This window comes from Homo sapiens, chromosome 19 (genome assembly GCF_000001405.40).
Source record: "Homo sapiens chromosome 19, GRCh38.p14 Primary Assembly".
NCBI lineage: Eukaryota > Metazoa > Chordata > Mammalia > Primates > Hominidae > Homo > Homo sapiens.
In genome coordinates, this window is record NC_000019.10 from 49659519 (window position 1) to 49675213 (window position 15695).

General features: G+C 54.6%; 2 protein-coding genes across 37 annotated transcripts, besides 4 other annotated features; one reads left to right on the forward strand and one right to left on the reverse strand.

Moving 5' to 3' along the window:
- Positions 54-6339, reverse strand: IRF3 (interferon regulatory factor 3). Of its 23 annotated transcripts, none has more exons than NR_045568.2 (8): positions 5966-6339; positions 5156-5328; positions 3825-3996; positions 3670-3740; positions 2907-3099; positions 2430-2810; positions 1195-1310; positions 54-315 (listed from the first exon to the last, which is right to left on the reverse strand). NR_045568.2 is itself a non-coding variant. In XM_047438784.1 (8 exons), exons 5-8 carry the CDS (start codon positions 3067-3069, stop codon positions 71-73), a joined length of 921 nt encoding a protein of 306 aa, XP_047294740.1. In that variant the 5' UTR covers positions 3070-3099; positions 3670-3740; positions 3825-3996; positions 5035-5155; positions 6154-6339; the 3' UTR covers positions 54-70. The 23 variants fall into 23 exon arrangements, 20 of the variants coding, with proteins under 20 accessions (XP_047294740.1, XP_016882256.1, XP_006723261.1 ...); XM_047438784.1 differs by lacking the exon at positions 5156-5328 and adding an exon at positions 5035-5155 and having other exon boundaries at positions 1195-1326; positions 6154-6339; XM_017026767.2 differs by having other exon boundaries at positions 6154-6339.
- Positions 5624-14398, forward strand: BCL2L12 (BCL2 like 12). 14 transcript variants are annotated; one of them, NR_104201.1, is made up of 7 exons: positions 5624-6549; positions 7167-7281; positions 7501-7643; positions 9333-9419; positions 9506-9646; positions 10698-10970; positions 14180-14398. NR_104201.1 is itself a non-coding variant. In NM_138639.2 (7 exons), the coding sequence occupies exons 2-7, from the start codon at positions 7175-7177 to the stop codon at positions 14228-14230; spliced, it is 753 nt and encodes a 250-aa protein (NP_619580.2). In that variant the 5' UTR covers positions 6415-6549; positions 7167-7174; the 3' UTR covers positions 14231-14398. The 14 variants fall into 14 exon arrangements, 8 of the variants coding, with proteins under 8 accessions (NP_001269449.1, NP_619580.2, NP_001035758.2 ...); NM_138639.2 differs by having other exon boundaries at positions 6415-6549; positions 9506-9597; NM_001040668.2 differs by having other exon boundaries at positions 6415-6549; positions 7504-7643; positions 9506-9597.
- Positions 6318-6467: a silencer, noted in NCBI's record as "silent region_10928". NCBI's record gives its function as "represses an Ori minimal core promoter by ATAC-STARR-seq in GM12878 lymphoblastoid cells {active_cell/tissue: GM12878}" and the evidence as "EXISTENCE:reporter gene assay evidence [ECO:0000049][PMID:35858748]".
- Positions 6508-6587: a silencer, noted in NCBI's record as "silent region_10929". NCBI's record gives its function as "represses an Ori minimal core promoter by ATAC-STARR-seq in GM12878 lymphoblastoid cells {active_cell/tissue: GM12878}" and the evidence as "EXISTENCE:reporter gene assay evidence [ECO:0000049][PMID:35858748]".
- Positions 12586-13144: an enhancer, noted in NCBI's record as "H3K27ac-H3K4me1 hESC enhancer chr19:50175361-50175919 (GRCh37/hg19 assembly coordinates)". NCBI's record gives its function as "activates a minimal SCP1, AML or CMV promoter by ChIP-STARR-seq in naive H9 embryonic stem cells {active_cell/tissue: H9 hESC(naive)}" and the evidence as "EXISTENCE:reporter gene assay evidence [ECO:0000049][PMID:30033119]".
- Positions 12638-12827: an enhancer, noted in NCBI's record as "active region_14953". NCBI's record gives its function as "activates an Ori minimal core promoter by ATAC-STARR-seq in GM12878 lymphoblastoid cells {active_cell/tissue: GM12878}" and the evidence as "EXISTENCE:reporter gene assay evidence [ECO:0000049][PMID:35858748]".

The following is a 15695-nucleotide window of genomic DNA, read 5'->3' on the forward strand; positions in this document are numbered from 1 at the left end:
AATAACAACCATATTGGGTCAGAGGGCACCCAACACCAGACACGCACAAGTGATCATAGCAGGAACCAGTTTATTGGTTGAGGTGGTGGGGAACAGGGGGGTTGGAGGCACACCATGAGGAGCGAGGGCTCAGCTCTCCCCAGGGCCCTGGAAATCCATGCCCTCCACCAAGTCCTGCAGGTAGGCCTTGTACTGGTCGGAGGTGAGGGAGAGTGGGTGGCTGTTGGAAATGTGCAGGTCCACAGTATTCTCCAGGGAGGAGGCACCCCCTACCCGGGCCATTTCTACCAAGGCCCTGAGGCACGTGGGCACAACCTGCAGGGGAAGTGGGGACAGGAGTCAGGGAAAACACCCAGCCACTGTCCACCAAGGTAGGAGTCAGGGCTTGGAGGACTACAACTCCCTGCAGCCCCTGCTGTAACCTAGGATGAACCATAGGCCTAGGGCTGCTGGGAGTTGTAGTTTTACACACACACACACACACACACACACACACACACACACACACACCCCCTGCTGTAACTGAACCATAGGCCTAGGGCTGCTGGGAGTTGTAGTTTTACACACACACACAAACACACACACACACACACGTCAGGGCTGAGCAGTCTGTGATCTTGACTCCTGGGAGCCACAGCCATGGCCTCACAATGGCAGCTAAAACTTGAGTCCACCAGCTTCTACATGGTTTAGAGCAGGGGTCCCCAACCCCCCTACGGCTTGTTAGGGACCAGGTTGCACAGCAGGATGTGAGCAGCGGGTGGGGGAATATTACTGCCTGAGCTCTGCCTTCTGTGAGATCAGCGGCAGCATTAGATTCTCAGAGGAGCACAAACTCTATCGAACTGCGCACGTGAGGGATCGGCTGCTCCTTAAGAGAATCTAATGCCTGATGATCTGCAGTGGAGCAGTTTCATCCCGAAACCACACCTCCCTGTCCGTGGAAATATTATCTTCCATGAGACTGGTCCCTGGTGCCAAATAGTTTGGGGGCCACTGGTTTAGAGAGTTCAAAACAGGTTCTGCAGGTGAGGCCATGGGAAGGAGCTCCCGGGGATGAAAAACTGGTTATTGCAGAGATCTTGGAAGTTGCAGTTTTTTAGAGGGCCCTCTGGGAGTTGGAGTTCCTGGGAGCAACCTCTTCCCTCTGTAAGGCCACCCCTTTCAGCCCCAGGGACTCAGGTCTGCAGGCACCTTGACCATCACGAGCCTCTTGGTCCACGGCTGGTCCTGGGGCCATGACTCCCCCACACAGAACCAGAGGGCATAGCGTGGTGAGCGTCCGCTTCCTTCCGTGAAGGTAATCAGATCTGGGGGCCCAGGAGCCTAGTCAGGGATGAGAAGAGGACCCTCTACCCACCCTTCCCCGTAAACTTGAATGATAACCCCCACCACCTCCCCTGACCTAAGGCCCTCTGCTGCCTCGACCAGGGGACTGCTTGTTTGGGGAAAGTCCCCTCCTTCCCTCCCTCCCTCCCTCCCATCAGGGTGGGGTTGTTGGAAGGCCACACCCCCAAGCCCCCAAGCCTCAGCATTCATAACAGGCCCAGAGTAGGGGGCCCATGCTCCCAAGGATGCTCAGTGAATCTGGAGAAGCTGGTTGGCATTCAGTCCTGTCTGAGGCTGCATTGTCCAATTGCAGCCATTAGTCATGTAAGGTTATTTCAGTTTAAATTGTAACCAATTAAAACGAATCACGTCCTGGTTGCACTCGCCTCACCTGAGTGCTTGGCCCCTGTGGCTAGTGGCTGCTGCACCGGACAGTGCAGGTGACTGTCATTTCCATCATGGCAGAAAGTGCCACTGCACAGCGAAACCCTAAGGGATGTAGCTTTCCTGCTATTGGTCTGTTCACCATCATTAGTTACGATGATGATGACAGTGGCAGCTAATTCCCTGAGCAGGCTCTGTGTACTGGGCCTGTGTCTCACCCCAGCGCTGGCAGGCAGGTAGAGAGAGGAGACCATCCTTGGATTCCACGGGCTCAGGGCAAAGTCCTTTGCCTCGGTTATACAGCGGGCCAAGGGCAGCCAGCGTCTGAATTCAGTCCTAATCATGAGTTCTTTTTTTTTTGTTGTTCGAGATGGAGTCTTACTCTGTCACCAGGCTAGAGTGCAGTGGTGCGATCTCAGCTCACTGCAATCTCCGCCTCCTGGGTTCAAGCAATTCTCCTGCCTCAGCCTCCCGAGTAGCTGGGATTACAGGCACGTGCCACCACGCCCGACTATTTTTTTGTATCTTTAGTAGAGATGGGGTTTCACTATGTTGACCAGGCTGGTCTCGAACTCCTGAACTTGTCATCTGCCCACCTCAGCCTCCCAAAGTGCTGGGACTACAGGCGTGAGCCACCGTGCCCGGCCAATCCTGAGTTGTTAACCACTGTGCAGGCTGCTTTGTACTGGCCAGGTCGAAGCCCCTGTCTCACTCACCTACAATGAAGGGCCCCAGGTCAAACACGCCTCCTTCCTTGTCCTTGGGGACCTCGCCATCAGGCCCATGCCCGCTGTTGGGGAGCAGCTCCTCGCTCACTGCCCAGTATGTGTGGCAGTGCCCCAGCCGCTGGGCCCAGAGCCACTGCCCGGCCCGCCAGAGAGCCAGTCCCCCACCCAGGCAGCTCAGCACATGCCTCACGTAGCTCATCACTCCCCTGTCTGTCAGGGACATGCCAGGGTCTGGCAGTGTGACTGGCCATCCAGGCAGCGTCCTGTCTCCCACTTCGGACCCCACCAGCCGCAGGCCCTCCGGGCAGGAGATGGTCTGCTGGAAGACTTGGCGGCCCCGGTAGAAGGCTGTCACCTCGAACTCCCACTCTGAGCAGCGGCAGCAGCGGCATGAAGGGGAGAGGGGTTGAGAATCAGGGGCTGCCGCCCAGACCTCAGCCCTCCCAGCCTGCAGCTGACACTCACCTTCCCCCGGCACCAACAGCCGCTTCAGTGGGTTCTCAGAGGGCCCCAGGTTTGGGAAGGGAGTGGGATTGTCCAAGCTGGGGCTCCGCAGGGGCTGAGGGCAGGGCTCAGGGGCTACAGCCAGGCTTGGGGGTCCCGGATCTGGGAGTGGGGCCAACACCATGTTACCCAGTAACTCATCCAGAATGTCTTCCTGGAGGGAAACAAAAAAAGAGAATCAGGCATTTCCATATCCTTTTCTGGAGACTTCATATGGACCAGGTCTGTTCTCAGCAACGCAGGGAGGTCAGGCTTGAGCTCTGCCTTCAAGGGGCTTCCAGCCTGGGGACAGAGCCAGCCATGGCATCAACAGCCAAACAAACACTAATGAACGCCAGGTGCTACCATTCCAACCCAAGGATCTGGCTCTATGCAGGTAAGACCTGGGCAAAGCAGGCTGGGTAGAATTTCAGAGGGGATGCTCCCCCAGCTTGGGCCTCAGCAGGATCAAGGTGAGGGAGTTTTTCAGTTCCCAAGAGGCTGACAGCCCCCTGCGAATCGAAATCCATGAAATCCCGGGAAGGTGTGCTCGGGCCTTGAATGCTGGGTGAAGACTTGGAATTTTCTCCTGAGGAGACCGGGGCAGGGACAGACAGGGTCAGCACTGGCTCAGGTGAGGGGCAGGCTGGAGGCAGGGGAGTGGGGGGATCGTCTAGAGGGAGAGGACAAGGCCCATGGAGACAGGTCGGAGACTGAGGGGCATGAAAGTTGGGCACATTCTCACCTGGGTATCAGAAGTACTGCCTCCACCATTGGTGTCCGGAGAGGTGTCTGGCTGGGAAAAGTCCCCAACTCCTGTTGAGAAAAGTGGTGAGGGGAGTAGGAGTGCCAGGAACCCTTGGGGCCCCAGCCTCCCACACGAACCCCAAGCTGGCAGACCTGAGTTCACAAACTCGTAGATTTTATGTGGGTCGTGAGGGTCCTTGCTCCGGTCCTCTGCTAAACGCAACCCTTCTTTGCGGTTGAGGGCAGAGCGGAAATTCCTCTTCCAGGTTGGCAGGTCTGGCTTATCCCTCCCGGGAACATATGCACCAGTGGCCTCGGCCCAGGCCTGGGGCAACAGTGGTGTCAGGATGGTGGGGGAGGACGACTTAGATCCTGCTCCTGGGGCCCTAACCCTGTCTCCCGAGTCCTAACACCACCCTCTTTCCCTGGCAAGTTCTAACTCTGCAAGGTCCATCCCCAAATCCCCCCGTCCCACCTACCTCCATCCCCCACCTCTAGTTTTCAAAAGGCTTTTTTTCTTTTTGAGATGGAGTTTCACTCCTGTCACCCAGGCTGGAATGCAATGGTGCAATCTCAGCTCACTGCAACTTCCGCCTCCCCGGTTCAAGCGATTCTCCTGTCTCAGCCTCCTGAGTAGCTGGGATTACAGGTGGGCACCACTACACCTGGCTAATTTTTGTATTTTTAGTAGAGATGGGGTTTCACCATGTTGGCCAGGCTGGTCTTGAACTCCTGACCTCAGGTGATCCGTCCTCCTCGGCCTCCCAAAGTGCTGGGATTACAGGCATGAGCTACTGTGCTCGGCCTCTTCAAAAGCCTTTGAAACCTCTTTGGTTTTTGTTTTGTTTCGCTTTTGTTTTTAAAGAGATGGAGCCTATGTTGCCCAAGCTGGCCTCAAACTCCTGGGCTCAAGCGATCCTCCCGCCTTGGCCTTGCAAAGTGCTAGGATTACAGGTGTGAACCACCGCCCCCGGCCCAAAAACCTTTTCTTTCTAAGCCAGGCTTCCAAGTCCAACTTGGTGTCTAATCCCGTGCACCACCTGCCCCGCGACACCCTCTGTGATAACCCCGCCCCTCACACTGTTTACCACCTCTGGCATATACTAATTCGGTAGTTAGGAACCTCAGATTTGGGGCTCCAGGCCTCACCTCTGATGTTTCAAGAACCATCCCCCAGTATCTATCCTACAACCAAGAGCCCCGGCCTCTAGAAAGCCCCAAACCCCCAGGATGCATTTCCTTTGCGTACTAACCGGCTTTCCCGGTTTTATTCCCGTAACCCTGCAGCTCCAACCCTGCTTGCGCCCCACCATCAGTCAGCGGATCCGGCTAGCCCCGCCCCTCCCGTTCTAGCCCCACCCACCAGCGTTGGCACGAGCCCGCCCCTCGCGCGCCACCTCCGCCTTCTCAGCCGGGCCCACTAGGAGTCCTTTCCGCCCAGCGCGCAGCTCCGGGTTTCCAGCGTCCCAGGTCGTCGCACGCACCTGGAAGATTCCGAAATCCTCCTGCTGTGCATCCTGCCGTAGGCCGTGCTTCCAAGGGATGCGGAAGCGCGTGCGGCTCTTGTTCACCCAGGCCACGCCCTCCAGTTGCCCCAGGTCCAGCTGCGACACCAGCCAGGGCAGGATCCGTGGCTTTGGGGTTCCCATGGTCCGGCCTGCGCGTATAGGGCATTTCCTGGGCGCGACCGGCCTCCCCCGGACCCACCTGGCCTGGAGTTTCCGCACCCAGACCTCCTTCTCACGGGCCACGGCACAGGTCCTTCACCCATATTTTCGGGGGTACAAACAGGAAACCTCCTCTTCCCATCCTCCCATCCTCCCGAGAGGCTCTCTAATCAGCTAGGGTTCCTTCCCATATCCATGGCACATCCTTCCCCAGCGTCTTCAGTGCAGACCCTCCACTCCCTCAATTCCGCCAGTATAGACCTCCTCCCTCCCCCACATCATCGAAAGTAAGTATCCCCACTTTCAGGGTAGCATCCTCTTTCCCTAGTTATTTCAGTGCAGAATCGATTCACGTGTAAGCCTCTACCTCCTGCACTTACCCCAATGTAGACCCCCTTCCACAGTCCCCCTACAGAAGATCTCCCAAAACATTTCCAACACAGAACTTCCATTCAATTCCCCTCCGACTGCCCGCCTCCCTCCTCCAGGACAGAGCACGCCCCAGGTTTCGAGACTGAACTACCCCCATCTACGGAGTCCACCCCTCCCTCTCTAGAACCCCCTCAGTGTAGACGCCTCCTCTTTTCCTCTTTCCTCCCTACTTTTTCTAGTTTTTCTGCAGCCGACCTCCAGCGTCGGCCACTGTAGCTCCTTCCTTGCTCCACTTTCCCCAGAGTACACAGCCTGCCTTTCCACTCTCCGTGCAGACCCATCCTCTTTCCCGCTCCTCGCTCTCGGACGCCACCAACGCTCTCCCGGGCTCTTCCGCGTTACCTACGATGGAAGGTCGGGGCGTGCGGGCAGCTGGAACCCACCCCTGTCTTGGAGCTCCGGGTAGCTCTCAAACTCGAGGCTGCGCACCCCCTTTCCCGTCAGCTGAGCTCTAGAGCGCTGGGGCTTTCTTTTTGATCGACTTCTTGAAATAAAACCAACTTTATCATTCTTTGGGTAACAGACCCAAAAGCCGATGGGACGGCCCGCTGGGCTGTTCCCGCCCCTATGCCCTTTTTTGGGTTTCCGGCCAGAGGCATGCTGGGAGCGTCACATGCAAATTGAGCGTGCACCCAGCGTTCCGCCCTTTCTACGCTGGGCCGGTTATCGACCCGGCCCAGTGCGCAGGCGCGGGAAAGTTGAACTAATAAAGTTTGTACGAGTTCAGTGGAGGAGACCGCAAGTTGAGTGGAGGAGGCGGCGGTGGGGCCCCGGACCAGGTCAGCGGGGTGTTGACGAGGGGTGGGGTGAGGAGGGAAGAGGAGGGGGCCGGGATCCAGTGGTGGGCACCCCAGTCCCGCTTCTCTGATATCCAAGGGTCCAGGGTCCTCTAGATTCCAGCAGGGGTCGGAGATTTGGAACTACACCTCACAGCAGGCTGCGCGGCGAAGAAGCGCGGACCTAGGGGAAGATTTGCCCTGAAACCTCTTGGGATTGGTAGTTCCCGATGCTTTAAGGGTTTCAGGAGTTTGGCATATGCCTCTTATAGAATCCAGGAGTTGGGGCGCTAAGCCTCTTCTTCCTGGGAGACCTAAGGGTCTGGGGCTCCAGTTCCTTTTTCTCTAAGACTCAGAAGTCCAGGACCCCAGCTCCCTCCTCCTTTAGACCCACGAATCTGGGCACCCAGCCCCACCACCTTTCCTTGGATCGAAGAGTCTTTTTCCTGATCGCTTTTTCGTCTGAGGACTCAAGAGTCTAGGCCCCCAGACCCACACTCTCCAAAGGACCCAGGAGTCCAGGCCCTCAGCACCTTCCTTGGGACTCACAAGTCCTGGTCCCCAAGCCTCCACTTCTTGCTAAACCCTTGGAGTCCAGTCCCTAACCCTCTCTCTCACAGGTGCCTCCATGGCAGGCTCTGAAGAGCTGGGGCTCCGGGAAGACACGCTGAGGGTCCTAGCTGCCTTCCTTAGGCGTGGTGAGGCTGCCGGGTCTCCTGTTCCAACTCCACCTAGGTAAGAGGAGTGGCCCTTCTCCCCCAGGGGCCAGCATTTGAGGCTCCCTCCTAACTCTTGCTCCTGGTCTCAGTCTGTCTCCTCTCTTTATATCTGGCTCTATTCTCTGTCTTTGGGGTTTTGGAGAGAGGTCCTCAGCGGGGGAGGGAGGGAGTTGGGGAAAGAGACTGCTTGCAGGGGATCTCTGGTGGGGTCAGTCTCTGAAGTCCTCCTCTCCAGAAGCCCTGCCCAAGAAGAGCCAACAGACTTCCTGAGCCGCCTTCGAAGATGTCTTCCCTGCTCCCTGGGGCGAGGAGCAGCCCCCTCTGAGTCCCCTCGGCCTTGCTCTCTGCCCATCCGCCCCTGCTATGGTTTAGAGCCTGGTAAGAGATTTCCATGATCATCTATGAAGCCGGCAGAACACGGGATAAGGTGCTAGTTTAAGATCACTCAGCTAGGGGGTGGCTGTGTGGAGTCTCTAGCACCAGCCTTCAGGACAGAACCGTCCTGTCCTCTCCCCTCCCCAGTTAGATTTCTGTCAATTCTGTGGGTTGGCTTTCAGAGAGCATTTGGTCAATCTGGTTGTTGTCTCTTTCCTTCCATAACTACTTCCCTGCCCCTAGGACTTTTGTAGCCAGGAATACCCCTGATAGAGGGGCAGAAGGGCTGGTTTTCAATCACATCTCCCTGGCTGTTTTAGTTGCGTGACTCTGGGGAAAATGCTTTCTCTTCCCTGCTCCCCTGTTTTTCCAATAGCAGAGTAGGAATTGGGGAGGAGGTCACTGGACTTGATCAAGGTGACCCACAAGTTTCCTCATAGGTGTGAACCTGGACAGACTAGTAATGGCTGCTGGGAGTGCTAGCTTGAAAAGGGGTTCACAGCTTGGGAGAGGAAGTGCTGTGATCAATTGGTGATGTCTGTAGTGAGTGAGGGAAGGGGATACTAACAGTAATGTCTTGTGTTTGCCTTCCTTGGATGAGATCATCTTCAAGGTCTAGTTGAGCTCTGACAGTCTTTTGGAGACAGATTGTTGCTCTGTCACCCAGGCTGGAGTGCAGGGGTGCAATCTCGACTCACTGCAATCCCCACCTCCTGGGTTCAAGCGATTCTCGTGCCTCAGCCTCCCGAGTGACTGGGATTACAGGTGCACGCCAGCATACTAGCTGATTTTTATACTTTTAGTAGACACGGGGTTTCGCCACGTTGGCCAGGCTGGCCTCAAACTCCTGGCCTCAAGTGACCCTCCCACGTCGGCCTCCCAAAATGTTGAGATTGCAGACGTGAGCCACCGCACCCTGTCAGCTCTGACATTCTTTTTTTTTTTTTTTTTTTTGAGACGGAGTTTCGCCCTTGTTGCCCAGGCTGGAGTGCAATGGCCCGATCTCGGCTCACCACAACCTCTACCTCCCGGGTTCAAGTAATTCTCCTGCCTCAGCCTCCCAAGTAGCTGGGATTATAGGCATGCGCCACCATGCCCGGCTAATTTTTTTTGTATTTTTAGTAGAGATGGGGTTTCTCCATGTTGGTCAGGCTGCTCTCGAACTCCCAACCTCAGGTGATCTGCCTGCCTCAGCCTCCCAAAGTGATGGGATTACAGGCGTGAGCCACTGCGCCTGGCCCCAGCTCTGACATTCTAAGTCCAGTCTGAGGATCTCATAAAGTGAAAAGTACAAGGGTTTTGGCATTTTTAACCAAGTTTTCTCACTGGGCCTCAGTTTACCCCATTATAAAATGGGAATCATGGCCAGGCTTGGTTGCTCACGCCTGTAATCCTAGCACTTTGGGAGGCTGAGGTGGGTGGATTGCCTGAGGTCAGCCTGGGCAACACGGTGAAACCCCATTTCTACTAAAATACAAAAAATTAGCCAGGTATGGCGGCGTGCGCCTGTAGTCCCAGCTACTCATGAGGCTGAGGCAGGAGAATTGCGAGACTCCGTTTCCCAAAATCAATACATAAATAAATAATAAATAAAATGGGAATCATTGCCACCTGCCAAGGTAGTTGGGGGAAGGAGAGAATCCGTAAGTTTCCAATGTCCTGGAAACCTGTCATTAACTCTTTTCACCCCAGGCCCAGCTACTCCAGACTTCTATGCTTTGGTGGCCCAGCGGCTGGAACAGCTGGTCCAAGAGCAGCTGAAATCTCCGCCCAGCCCAGGTGAGGCACAGAGGAGCCCCAGAGAAGGATGGCGGTGGGAGGATAGTCAGGGTTCTGCCCCCAGCCAAATTCTCTTCTGCCTCCAGAATTACAGGGTCCCCCATCGACAGAGAAGGAAGCCATACTGCGGAGGCTGGTGGCCCTGCTGGAGGAGGAGGCAGAAGTCATTAACCAGAAGGTGATGGGCATCTGTCCCACTCCTTGGCAAGGACAGGAGTTGCGGAATGGTGGGGCACTGGGATCAGAAGCTGGATCTGTATTTTCTTTGGATGGTCAGGTGGAAAGAGGCTGGGACAAGGTTTCAATGAAGGGTTGAGGCCGGGTGTGGTGGCTCACGCCTGTAATCCCAGCACTTTGGGAGGCCGAGTTGGGTGGATGACTTGAGGTCAGGAGTTCGAGACCAGCCTGGCCAACATGGTGAAACCCCATCTCTACTAAAAATACAAAAATCGGACAGGTGTGGTGGTGCGCTTCTGTAATCCCAGCTACTCAGAAGGCTGAGGCAGGAGAATCGCTTGAGCCCAGGAGGTGGAGGTTGCAGTGAGCCAAGATTGCGCCACTGCACTCCAGCCTGGGTGACAGAGTGAGACTCTGTCTTTAAAAAAAAAAAAAAAAAAGAATAGTTGAATGACAGGGGTATGGTTAGGGTAGTACTGTACCGTAAATTAGTTGTTTTAATTGATTGTTTAGAGGGGCATGGCCTAAATGCAGAGGGTGTGGCCATCAGAAACATTATCCACAAGAGACTGGCCAAGCTGGGGAAGTAAGTGAATGAATGTGGGGGTGGGGGGAGTGGCTAAAATCTTACTGAGCATAGAAGGGACCTGGCTTAGAATGTAGGGGAAAATGTACTACCAGAGGAGGTGTGGCTTGTGGCTGTGTCCTGGAATCTGATTGGCTTCGGAGCTTGGACAAGGTACATCGTCCTTTAATATTAATTGAATGGTAGAGGGCAAGATTGTTGTAGACACTAGGTTGGCCCCTGGGAAAGGTCACCAGGGGCATGGCTAGATTAACTCAGTTACAGTAGAGATTGGCCCTGATTGGCTGTTGAGGCAAGGGCCTGGCATGGCTTAGGGACTCACGTTCCAGGCCACTATCCCGGGGGTAGTTTGGCAGAGACCCTGGAGTCTGGCTTGATTGGCTAATATGGATGAGGGGTGGCCTAGAACCTTAGCATCTAGAACGATCCTGAACCGGGAAGCCACGCCTCCCGGCCCTCTATTGGCTGGCCCCGGGGGCGCTGCTGACGCGGACCCTGCCTCTTCCACCCTACAGCTGGCCTCGGACCCCGCCCTGCGCAGCAAGCTGGTCCGCCTGTCCTCCGACTCTTTCGCCCGCCTGGTGGAGCTGTTCTGTAGCCGGGATGACAGCTCTCGCCCAAGCCGAGCATGCCCCGGGCCCCCGCCTCCTTCCCCGGAGCCCCTGGCCCGCCTGGCCCTAGCCATGGAGCTGAGCCGGCGCGTGGCCGGGCTGGGGGGCACCCTGGCCGGACTCAGCGTGGAGCACGTGCACAGCTTCACGCCCTGGATCCAGGCCCACGGGGGCTGGGTGAGCCGCTGAAGCCTCTCTCTCCGGGCCTCACTTTACCTAACTGTCATGTGATAGAGGAGGGGCGGGGACTTCTTAGGTTCCTCTCAGACCTCAGGTATTCTCCCAGCTCCACTGCGTTCGTTCTGTTGAGCCCTTGCTGTATGCCAGGACTGCAGCGATGAGTGCAGACACTATGCCTGGCGTCAACGACTGGGTACGCTAATACTGTGAGCGTGAAACCAGTGACTGAGGTTACTCAGGGAGAGGCCGGACGGGGTAGCTCATGCCTGTAATCCCAGCACTTTTGGAGGCCAAGGCAGGAGAATTATTTGAGGCCAGGAGTTCAAGACCAGCCTGGACAACATAGTAAGACCCCATCTCTACAAAAATTGAAAATAACTAGCCAGGGTCGGGTGCGGTGGCTCACACCTGTAATCCCAGCACTTTGGGAGGCCGAGGCAGGTGGATCACCTGAGGTCAGGAGTTTGAGACCAGCTGGCCAACGTGGTGAAACCCTGTGTCTACTAAAAAAAATACATAAATTAGCCGGGCGCGGTGGCAGGTGCCTGTAATCCCAGCTACCGAGGAGACTGAGGCATGAGAATCGCTTGAACCTGGGAGGCAGAGATTGCAGTGAGCTGAGATCATGCCACTGCACTCCAGCCTGGGCGACAGAGTGAGACTGTGTCTCAACAAAATAATATAATAAAAACCTGGTGCGGTGGCTCACACCTGTAATCCCAGCACTTTGGGAGACTGAGGTGGGTGGATCACTTGAGGTCAGGAGTTTGAGACCAGCCTGACCATGGTGACATTCAGTCTCTACTAAAAATACAAAATTAGCCCGGCATGCCTGTAATCCCAGCTAGGGAGGCTGAGGCAAGAGAATTGCTTGAACCTGGGAGGCAGAGGTTGTAGTGAGCCGAGATTGCACCACTGCACTCCAGCCTGGGCAACAAGAGCGGGGCTCTGTCTCAAAAAATAAATAAATAAAAATTTTTAAAATTAATAATAATTAGCAAAGCATGGTAGCTCACACGTTTACTCCCAGCTACTCAGGAGGCAGAGGAGCCGGGAGGATCACTTGAGCCCAGGAGTTCAAGGCTGTGGTGAGCTATGATTGCGCCACTGTACTCCAGTGTGGGTGACAGAGTGGGACCCTGTCTCAAAAAATAAAATAGTGAGAGTAGTAGTGCTACCTCAAAGGGTCGCTCTGAGGGTTAAAATGGGGTCAATGTGGTAAGCCCTCTGTGCACTGCCTGGCATGCAGGCATTTTGTTGGTGAGGTTATATGGCTACCTGCTGCCTTTCCAACAGTGCCTGCCAGGATGCCCTCCCGGGGAACCCCCTGCCTCCGTCCTGCTCCTTCTGGTGGGCTCTGGTTTCACCCCCAACGAGGCCTTCCCAGGTCCCCATTGACAATCACAGCCACCTGCACACCCTCCCACCGCCCTCCTTCCCCCTTCCTGCTTTACTTTTCCTTCCATAGCACTTTGGGCCTTCCAACAGATGGTGGAATTGACTTGTTTTACTTGTCTTCTGGTTTATTTTTCTTTGTTGGTGTCTCCCACCTCTAACACATCAGCTTCAGGAGACCCAGAAGTCTTCCCCTCTCCTTTTCTTACTTTATCTCCAGTGCCGGTTTCAGAGTTGGATTGGGCTCCAGCGTGCTGGCCCTGTGGCTTGGCGACTGTCGCAGTCTCCCTGAGCGGCACTCTCCCCACTGGTCCAGTGAGCACCGTCTCATTTACCTGCCTTGGGGGGTCGCTGTGGGTATTCACTGAGAGAGGGACACAAGCCAGGCTCTGGATGGAACCGGTTTCCCTGGCAGGAGCTGGTCAAGTGTGTTTGAGGAGCAGGGAGGAGGAGGCCAGTAGGGCTACAGTAGGGTGAGCGGGCGACAGATGAGAGGAGGAGAGGCGCCGGGCCAGCCAGGACCCTGTGGTCACGGTGAGTGACAACTCGGACTTTGACTCTGGGTAAGCCAAGGTCTCTGAGCAGCGGAGGGACAGGCGCTGATTTAGGCGCTAATGGGCGCCCTCTGGCGGCTGCCTGGGGACAGACTGCTGGGGGCGAGGGCAGAAGTAGGGGCACAGGGAGGAGGTGAGTGGATCTCACCCAAGTCGGGGGCGGTGGAGAATGCTGGATTTAACTTAGCGGTGAAGCTGACAGATTTGGCTAATGGGCCAGATGTGGGGACAGACTAAAGGATGCTGGCCCGAGCAGCTGCAGGGCGACATCTTAAGTTCCCCGAGATGGGGAAGGTGTGGGGATGGGGGCGATGGGGGTGGGGAGCAGGACTGGAGGTGGTCCGGTCTACAGTAAGATCAGAACTCATAGCACATGTTGAGGGGAATGGATATAAGTGTTGGGCTCAGCAAAGAAGCTCGTTTATTTTATTTTATTTTAATTTTTCAGATGGAGTCTCACTCTATTGCCCAGACTGGAGTGCAGTGGCACGACCTTGGCTCACTGCAACCTCCACCTCCTGGGTTCAAGCGATTCCCTGCCTCAGCCTCCTGAGTAGCTGGGGTTACAGGCGCACACCACCATGTCCGGCTAATTTTGTAGTTTTAGCAGAGACGGGGTTTTGCCCTGTTGGCCAGGCTGGTCTCGAACTCTTGGCCTCAAGTGATCCACCCACCTCGGCCTCCCAAAGTGCTGGAATTACAGGCTGAGCTACCACGCCTGGACAATTTCTTAAAAAATTTTTTTAAAGTAGGATTGATAGCAGATGAGTTTTCTCGGTGGGCCAGGTCCTCTGCTAGGGATTTCAATGGAATGATCCCATTTAAACCCACTACAACCTCATGGGGCTCTTATTGTCCTCGTCTTGTGGGGGCAGAGAGGAAAAGTCCCCAGCATGCAGAGTGTTGGAATCTGGATTTGTACACAAAGCCACGACTCTGAATTGTTCAAATCCCAAGACTCTCTTCCCCATCTCTGACTCTGTCCCCCAACTCTTCACTCTCTCTGGATCTCTGTCTAATCCCACTCCAGTGTCCTGACCCTCCTCGAGCTCAACCTTTCCTCCTCCTGCTAGGACCCTGCCCCCTCATCCCTGTGCCCTTCTGTCTGGGTCTCTGTCCCCTTGTCTGGGTGTCTGTCACCCTCCGCTCTCTGGTTCCTCGCCTTCCCGTCTCTAATCTCACAGGGCTGATGTGGACGCTGCTGTATGGGGGGAACACCTGCCCTGCTCACAGGGCTCTGCCACTTTTCCCTTCCAGGAGGGCATCCTGGCTGTTTCACCCGTGGACTTGAACTTGCCATTGGACTGAGCTCTTTCTCAGAAGCTGCTACAAGATGACACCTCATGTCCCTGCCCTCTTCGTGTGCTTTTCCAAGTCTTCCTATTCCACTCAGGGCTGTGGGGTGGTGGTTGCCCTACCTGTTTTTGCCAAAAATAAATTGTTTAAAACTTTTCTTATTAAAAACGTTACAAAGTATTCAATTGTCTGTTCTTACACTTGGGAACTAAAGTTTTAAGGAGAGGAGATTTGGTTCAGAGATTTCTGTGGCTTACGCAAATTGAGGAAAGAACCAGTTCATTCATTCTAGAAATATTTATTTGCAGCACCTACAAGAGCCTGTCTCCTGGACATGTAACATATTTGAGAGAATACCTGTAAATATTCCAGCAACTTGCATTTTTTTTTCCTATTGCACGATCTGGTTATTCTAGCTAATGCTGTATGATGGTCATGGAGTCTTTCCAGTGAATTCCACAGAAAGGTACAGTCTAACTTCACCTGTGTCTAGGACACCACCCTCTTCTTGTTTTTCTCCTCCCATTGCTCCTTTCAAGTCTCTCTTGCTGGTTTCTCATCTACCTACAGACCAGTGGTTTGTCTCACACACACCCCCCACTCTCCCTTTTTTTTTGGAGATAGGGTCTTGCTCTGTTGCCTATACTTGCACTGTTATATAGATACAGTGGCACTATCATGGCTCACTGCAGCCTCAACCTCCTGGGCTCAAGTGATCCTCCCACTTCAGCCTCTCTAGTAGCTGGAACTAAAGGCATGCGACACGACGCCTAGCTAATTTTTAAAAAAGAATTTTTATGGGAGGCCAAGGCAGGTGGATCACTTGAGGTCAGGAGTTCAAGACCAGCCAGGCCAACATGGTGAAACCCCATCTCTACTAAAAATACAAAAATTAGCCGGGCATGGTGGTGGGTGCCTGTAATCCCAGCTACTTGGGTGGCTGAGGCACGAGACTCGCTTGAACCCGGGAGGCAAGAGGTTGCAGTGAGTTGAGATCACGCCACTGCACTCCAGCCTGGGCAACAGAGCGAGACTCCGTCTCAAAAAAAAAAAAATTGTAGAAATGGGGTCTCCCTTATGTTGCCCAGGCTGGTCTCCACCTCCTGGGCTCAAGTGATCCTCCTACCTTGGCATCCCAAAGTCCTGGGATCACAGGCATGAGTCACTGTGCCTGGGCGGTTTGTCTCCTTTATAGGGCCATATCCCCCTTCACAGAGTAATGTTTGTAAATTAATAAGTGAAATGTACAGGATTACAAACCGAACCAATTACAGTTGATCCTCAGTATTTGTAGATTATTTGCAAATTTGCATCCTTGCTACAATGTATTCATACCCCAAAAATTAAGGCAGTGCTTTTGTGGTGTTTTGGAGGGCAATGCTTATGCACAGAGCTGCAACAAGCTAAAGACCTGATGTGCATATTTGCAGCTGGGCTCCTCTTGCTTCAGCTCAAACACTGGAAACAAATGTCCTTT